We start from the raw sequence: 8,057 nt of genomic DNA, 5'->3' as shown, positions 1-8,057 counted from the left end.
GAATCCTTTCACTATTATTTTACATTTTAAAATATACCTAATCAAGTGCAGTGCAGTGCAGTGGTGTATGCCTGTGGTCCCAGCTGCTCGGGAAGCTCAGGAGAGAGCATCACTGGAACCCAGGAGTTTCAGTCCAGCCTGGGCAACACAGCAAGATCCCATCTCTAAAAAAAGAAAAGAAAGAAAAGAAAACAGTGGCCAGTCAGATGGCTATGTAGGTCAAAGACAGCCTGACTGAATCATATGAGAGGGAAGAAAAACACTTGTCATTCCTAGCTTTCTGTGTTCCTCTTTTGTTCCAGCAGAGCTTTGGTTGTACTACTCTAATACCCATACAACACTGCTTTCCTTAGAGCCACAGCTACTGCTGAGAACTCAAAAACTTCTTCCTTTCCGGTGAACACGTCTAGACTTGGGCTGGGGATGGGATGAAGATCTCTAACACCTTCCTGGAAATCAAGAAGTGCAAATAGGTAATTTTCCCTTTTTTTTTTTGAGATGGAGTCTCACTCTGTCGCCCAGGCTGGAGTGCAGTGGTGCAATCCGGCTCACTGCAATTCTCCCTGCTTCAGCCTCCTGAGTAGCTGGGATTACAGGTGCCCGCCACCACACCCAGCTATTTTTTTTAGTTTTAGTAGAGACGGGGTTTCACCGCATTGGGCAGGCTGGTCTCGAACCCCTCACCTCAGGTAGATCCGCCTGCCTCGTCCTCCCAAAGTGCTGAGATTACAGGTGTGAGCCACCGTGCCCAGCCTGGTAATTTTCTTAAGAGAGAAATAATGCTTTGTTTTGAGATGTTCTGCTGGGGTATTCTGGTAGCTCTTTCAGTGCTTAAACTCATTCCGAGTCTGCACAAATGGCATAATATTTAGCTGTGCTTTGACACTCTTCAGCACCTGGAATATAATGAGCATAAATATCTTTTTAGGTTTCTAGATCAAAGATTGTTTTCTTCTATAATGTTTCTCCTCAAAGAAGTGTTTCACTGTTCTGTAAAGTAAATTTCAGAGATTATAAGGCCAAAATAGCGATTATAGCAAAAGTCTATGATCAGTTACATTGTCTAATTTTGAATTACAGTGGCAGCTTTTCTTTTATCTTTAAATTTGGTGCCATTTCTTCCTATCATTTCCACCCCTGGGATTTTTCTGGTTAGAGATGTATATAATTGCCTTTCTGCCCACATTCCCTTCTAAAAGAATCTGTTCCCCTGCTGAACAGATGGGCCTAGTCATCTATGTTTATATCATATGACCCTACTCCCTGGTTATGATGATTGGACCAGGGTGGGGAGACCTACTCTGAGAGTCGATCCATAGGTTAGGCCAAGCCAACTAGATGATATTGTTTGAAAAAATTTCACTGAGACACAAAAGTCATAGTTAAGTGATGAGAATTGGAGTTGTCGGGTCACAGGTATTTAGTGTGAGACCTCTATGGCAAGCTTCAGCTACATGAACATTAAATTATGAGGGAACCCAAAGTAAAATCCTTACATGTGGAGCCAGCCTACAAGAGCAACCTAGAATAGACATGCAGAGAGAAGCAGTAGCAAGAGCTTACACTGACATTTGTAAAATCCCTTCTCACCATCCAGAGCCTTTTCTACTTTAAACAAACAGTATGTTTTTGAGCATGGCTTGGGCTGGATTGCCCACCTCCAGAGAACCTGTTTGTCTTACACTAATCAGCATTATTACATCATTCTGTCCATGTGACTGATTCAGAGTAGGCATGTGAACCATTAATGGACAATAAAGGAGACAGTTGCTGGAGTTTTGTTTGTTTTTTTTTTTTTGTTTTTGAGACTGGGTTTCGCTCTGTCATCCAGGCTGACGGGCAATGGCGGGATCATGGCTCAGTGCAGTTTCGATCTCCTGGGCTCAAGTGGTCCTCCCACCTCAGCCTCCCAAGAAGTTGGGACCACAGGAGGGGGCCACCATACCCGGCTAATTTTTTTGATGTTTTGTAGATATAGGGTCTCCCTATGTTGCCCAGGTTGGTCTCTAACTCCTGAGCTCAAGTGTTCTGCCCACTTCAGCCTCCCAAAGTGCTAGGGTGAAAGGCCTGAGTCACCACTGCCAGCCAATTGCTGAAGTTTTTGGAAAAGAAAATTCTTGTCTGATCCATGGGAGTTGCTTCAAAGGTACTCTCTGCTTTTGTAGATATGAACTAGGAAGCATGTAACTGTGGTTGCTTCTGACTACACTAGAAGACGCAGCCTAAGACGAAAACTGCTTCACAGGAGATAGAGTGCAGCAGTGGAAAGAAAGCAGGTCTTTATTGACATTATGGGACTACTGGTTTTGTTAAAATCTGCCCAGTTTTTGGTTCGTCAGTCACATCGGCCAATACATTCCCTTGGTTGTTTAAGTTGTTTGATTGGATTTCCTTTTACTTGTAACTGAACTCTTAAATTTGAGTGAGATTAATGATTTTCTAGGTCTTAGGAGACAAAGCAATCCCTTGAATTTCCTGGCTCCCTAAGTAGAACAGTCGTTAGTACCATCTTGTCCATTGTGTTTTGCTTGGTTCTGTACCACCTAGCAGAATGCCTAGGACACATTAGTTGCATCACCGAAATTTATTAAGTGATAAGTTCCCTCCTCTTGAACTCTCTCAGTAATATGATCAGCATACAATCTTCGAAAGTAGTGGATTTCAGGGAGACCTCTGACTTTCAGGTTGTGTGATGTGCTCTTGGAGAAGATGAAAGACAACTATTAATGAAATGAAAGTGATTAAGGAAGAAGCCAATCAACTTCATCAAGGCTGGGAAAAATAAACTGATAGTGCTATGCAAACAGACATCATACCATATTTTTCCTTATTATATATTTTGTATAGTTATCCTCATTCCTACCTTAATGAAACTGTGTCCTCTACATTTAGAATGCAGATAGATTTAAGAAAAAAAAAAAGATTATATTTTCCCATAGTCAAAATTAAGGTATGTATCTGGGACTTTGGTACATTACCTCACATAATCCTGACAATCCTGACTGGTGGGTATCATTAGTTCTATCATACAGATGAGGAAATTGAGGAAGAGACATTAATTAACTTGTTCAAGTTAGTAAGTAATGAGAGTTGAGATTGAAGTTAAAAGGTCTACTATTACTTTATGATAATTCCAAATACAATTAATTTATGACCTCTCTGGTCTTGCTAGGTCTGAAGCTCTTGCTGAAAGGATATCATAGCACGCATAGACTATCTCTGGTGACAGTGGTTTCCTCCAAAGATGCTAACTGGGTGACTAGGAGTGGGAGACATTTATTTTTCACTGTTCAGTGTTTTGTACCTTTTGACATTTGAACTATATGCTTATATTACTTTATCCAAAATATACATATTTAGAAAAAAATTATATCATGGAAATTTTATCTGATAAAACAATAGGCCTGTAATAGATGATTTTGAGATCCCTTCTAGTGCTAAATGTATTTCATTGTGTGAGTCTATAAAAAGGTCTCCCAGTTTTAGAGAATACAAAGATTTCTGCACTGAATGTTCTCCCAAACCACTGAAATTGCCTAAAAGGATCTTTAAAAAGGTTATCTATCTGTCTATCTATCTATCTATCTATCTATCTATCTATCTATCTATCTAGCTATCTATCTATTTTTTTTTTTTTGAGAGTCTCGCTTCGTCGCCCAGGCTGGGGTGCAGTGGTGAGATCTCGGCTCACTGCAAGCTCCGCCTCCCAGGTTCATGCCATTCTCCTGCCTCAGCCTCCCGAGTAGCTAGGACTACAGGCGCCCGCCACCACACCCAGCTAATTTTTTGTATGTTTAGTAGAGACGGGGTTTCACCATGTTAGCCAGGATGGTCTCAATCTCCTGACCTTGTGATCCGCCCGCCTCGGCCTCCCAAAGTACTGGGATTACAGGATTGAGCCACCGAGCCCGGCCAAAGGTCATCTATATTGTTGTCAGTATGAGTGGCTTAAAAAAAAAAGATCAGATCGATTAAATTTTGGAAATTAAGCTTTAGATTCAGATTAGGCCAAATGTCTCTGGGGCCCAATAAAACCTAAAGGGACCTGCCAGCATTTTCACTTGAAAGGACAACTTGGTTGTGATTAACACCAAACTACCAAAGGAATGGAGAGAGGAGCAGTTAAGAGTTCAGCAATTAATCACTCAAGATGTCTTCCATGGGTATGGACAAGCTGAAGGGAAGCAAGCTTTGCACATTTTATTTTCTCAGGAACACAGCAGGCATCTTGTAAAATCACTAGGATAGGCCCCATAACCAAAACAAAGGAGGATAAAGACAATTCATGTACATAAGCACTGGCAATTTGCCTTTGTTCTCTAATGACAAACCCTACAGGAGACAGGAACCCGCTGGAGTCTGACCTTGCCTCTTCCTAGTGAGGACAGCTTAGTATGTGCATGTGTGTGTTTAAAGCAACTGCTTCACATGTAGGATATCTTTCAAGTGTCGGAGATACCAATTGTATGTGATCTTAAGAAGCTTTTTCATCAAACATGGCATAATTTTTCAGTACAGCTACTTGAGTGTGCATATTTATGAGTAGCTTGAAACAATAAAAACAATGAAAAACCTTTTAATGCACTGAAATTAGCACAAATATGAGCTATGTAGCTAAGCTCCATTGTTCATAGCATTGAAGATAGTCACATCTAATTTTGCTGCTATAGAAAGCAAATCAGTTCTGCTAACTGAAGCCCACGATATTTTGCACATTATTTTTTTGAATTTCTTCGGTCTATTTTAGTGTTTGAAATGCTAAAAACTTCTGTCCCAGCATTCTTTCTGGAAAAAAGTCTGTATACTGTCTTTTGAGCTCTGCTACTAGTTCACAAGTCACTCTTGACTGAAGTTATAAAGCAAGAGAGGGGATTTTATTTATGGGATTTTGTATTATTTTTTTCTATTCACTATAGTGCATTTCCTCCTCCCAGGCCACAGGATTCTGCTGCAAATTCTAACAGGAGGAGGCAATGGCAGCCCTTACTAAAACCGCAGAACTACAGGAAGAGGATCCCTGAGTGGGATTCCTGTGTGAAAGGCATTTTCACCTTTTTGTGTATCTTCAGAATCTTAACTTTCATGAGAGAAGAATAGAAATGCAACAATGGAACAATCCACTGTATACACGTAGCTGACAATTTAATAAACTTGAAGGAAATGCTACAGAGTCCTGTCAATGTCTTTCTTGGTCCACATGCGGCTTCTGTAGGAGATCTTCTATGTGTCAGGCCAGAAATTCCATGCAACCAGTCCTAGATTTCCCAATGGTGGTGCTGAATGGAGCGTTTCACTTGGTGTCATTGTCAGACAGTTCTGCCAAGTTTGTTATTAGGCCTCACGTGGCCTATGTAACAGGTTTTCCCCTACATCTTGTCTAACCAACCTAGCAAAACTTTCAGTTCATCCCCTTCTATTCCAATCTGATCAAAGCTTGAGAGTGTCTCATGAAATTTTATAGGTTTAGTTGTCTCATTTAAATTACCACCATGAAAATCTCCTGGATCTTAAAATTAATGTAAACTTTAATCTACAATGTGATTTCTTCCCCACCTGTGGCCTGATTTTTATTTTTTTTTATTTTTTATTTTTATTTTTATTTTTATTTATTTATTTATTTTTTTATTGATAATTCTTGGGTGTTTCTCACAGAGGGGGATTTGGCAGGGTCATGGGACAATAGTGGAGGGAAGGTCAGCAGATAAACAAGTGAACAAAGGTCTCTGGTTTTCCTAGGCAGAGGACCCTGCGGCCTTCCGCAGTGTTTGTGTCCCTGGTTACTTGAGATTAGGGATTGGTGATGACTCTTAACGAGCATGCTGCCTTCAAGCATCTGTTTAACAAAGCACATCTTGCACTGCCCTTAATCCATTTAACCCTGAGTGGACACAGCACATGTTTCAGAGAGCACAGGGTTGGGGGTAAGGTCACAGATCAACAGGATCCCAAGGCAGAGGAATTTTTCTTAGTGCAGAACAAAATGAAAAGTCTCCCATGTCTACTTCCTTCCACACAGACACGGCAACCATCCGATCTCTCAATCTTTTCCCCACCTTTCCCGCCTTTCTATTCCACAAAGCCGCCATTGTCATCCTGGCCCGTTCTCAATGAGCTACTGGGCACACCTCCCAGAAGGGGCGGTGGCCGGGCAGAGGGGCTCCTCACTTCCCAGTAGGGGCGGCCGGGCAGAGGTGCCCCTCACCTCCCGGACGGGGCGGCTGGCCGGGCAGGGGGGCTGACCCCCCCCACCTCCCTCCCGGACGGGGCGGCTGGCCGGGCGGGGGGCTGAACCCCCCACCTCCCTCCCGGACGGGGCAGCTGGCCGGGCAGAGGGGCTCCTCACTTCCCAGTAGGGGCGGCCGGGCAGAGGCGCCCCTCACCTCCCGGACGGGGCGGCTGGCCGGGCGGGGGGGCTGACCCCCCCACCTCCCTCCCGGACGGGCGGCTGGCGGGCGGGGGGCTGACCCCCCCACCTCCTTCCCGGACGGGCGGCTGGCGGGCAGAGGGGCTCCTCACTTCCCAGTAGGGGCGGCTGGGCAGAGGCGCCCCTCACCTCCCGGACGGGGTGGCTGGCCGGGCAGGGGGGCTGACCCCCCCACCTCCCTCCCGGACGGGGCGGCTGGCGGGCGGGGGGCTGACCGCCCCACCTCCCTCCCGGACGGGGCGGCTGGCCGGGCGGGGGGGCTGACCCCCCACCTCCCTCCCGGATGGGGCGGCTGGCCGGGCGGGGGCTGACCCCCCCCCCACCTCCCTCCCGGACGGGGTGGCTGCCGGGCGGAGACGCTCCTCACTTCCCAGATGGGGTGGCTGCTGGGCGGAGAGGCTCCTCACTTCTCAGACGGGGCAGCTGCCGGGCGGAGGGGCTCCTCACTTCTCAGACGGGGCGGCCGGGCAGAGACTCTCTTCACCTCCCAGACGGGGTCTCGGCCGGGCAGAGGCGCTCCTCACATCCCAGATGGGGCGGCGGGGCAGAGGCGCTCCCCACATCTCAGACGATGGGCGGCCGGGCAGAGACGCTCCTCACTTCCTAGATGTGATGGCGGCTGGGAAGAGGCGCTCCTCACTTCCTAGATGGGATGGCGGCCGGGCGGAGACGCTCCTCACTTTCCAGACTGGGCAGCCAGGCAGAGGGGCTCCTCACATCCCAGACGATGGGCGGCCAGGCAGAGACACTCCTCACTTCCCAGACGGGGTGGCGGCCGGGCAGAGGCTGCAATCTCGGCACTTTGGGAGGCCAAGGCAGGCGGCTGGGAGGTGTAGGTTGTAGTGAGCCGAGATCACGCCACTGCACTCCAGCCTGGGCACCATTGAGCACTGAGTGAACGAGACTCCGTCTGCAATCCCGGCACCTCGGGAGGCCGAGGTTGGCGGATCACTCGCGGTTAGGGGCTGGAGACCGGCCCGGCCAACACAGCGAAACCCCGTCTCCACCAAAACCAATCAGGCGTGGCGGTGCGTGCCTGCAATCGCAGGCATTCGGCAGACTGAGGCAGGAGAATCAGGCAGGGAGGTTGCAGTGAGCCGAGATGGCAGCAGTACAGTCCAGCTTCGGCTCCGCATGAGAGGGAGACCATGGGGAGACGGAGACGGGAGACGGGAGACGGGAGACGGGAGACGGGAGACAGAGGGAGAGGGAGAGGGAGAGGGAGAGGCTGATTTTTAGTTCCTTTGTAATTGTTTAATTGAAGATGGTAAAATCCTTTGAGAAAAGTAGTTCACAACCTTCCCTTTTGCCTCTGGAGACCTCTGCTCCATTTTGCTTGTTATAGTTTTATAAAAGCATTGAGACTTTCCTTAATGAAGAGAACTCAGAGAGCCTCTGTCATGAACTTTGCTGAACTCAAATCAGAAGGCCAGAACATATAAAACTGATTAATTCATGAAGACCCTTAAGGGAAATTCTTAACAGTCTGTGGCTCAAGCTCTATGTTATTTTGAAATACAGATGAAAATGCCAACCTTAAAGGGGTGCTTTATGATTAATGAGATAATGTGTATAATACGTTCTGAGTTCCTAGAGCAATCGTCTAATATAAGGGAGCTATTATTATTTATTA

At 46.6% G+C, this 8,057-nt stretch overlaps 1 long non-coding RNA gene across 1 annotated transcript, besides 1 other annotated feature; it reads left to right on the top strand.

Moving 5' to 3' along the window:
* Window positions 1-303: 303 nt before the first annotated feature.
* Window positions 304-5,166, top strand: LINC01827 (long intergenic non-protein coding RNA 1827). Its single transcript, NR_187191.1, has 2 exons — window positions 304-473; window positions 4,935-5,166. It is a non-coding gene; the product is annotated as a long intergenic non-protein coding RNA 1827 (long non-coding RNA).
* Window positions 3,986-4,576: an enhancer, noted in NCBI's record as "OCT4-NANOG hESC enhancer chr2:196434945-196435535 (GRCh37/hg19 assembly coordinates)". NCBI's record gives its function as "activates a minimal SCP1, AML or CMV promoter by ChIP-STARR-seq in naive H9 embryonic stem cells {active_cell/tissue: H9 hESC(naive)}" and the evidence as "EXISTENCE:reporter gene assay evidence [ECO:0000049][PMID:30033119]".
* Window positions 5,167-8,057: the final 2,891 nt, after the last annotated feature.

Source organism: Homo sapiens, chromosome 2 (assembly GCF_000001405.40).
Source record: "Homo sapiens chromosome 2, GRCh38.p14 Primary Assembly".
NCBI lineage: Eukaryota > Metazoa > Chordata > Mammalia > Primates > Hominidae > Homo > Homo sapiens.
Note: the sequence above shows the minus strand (reverse complement) of the source record. Positions and strands in the feature narration are given on the sequence as shown.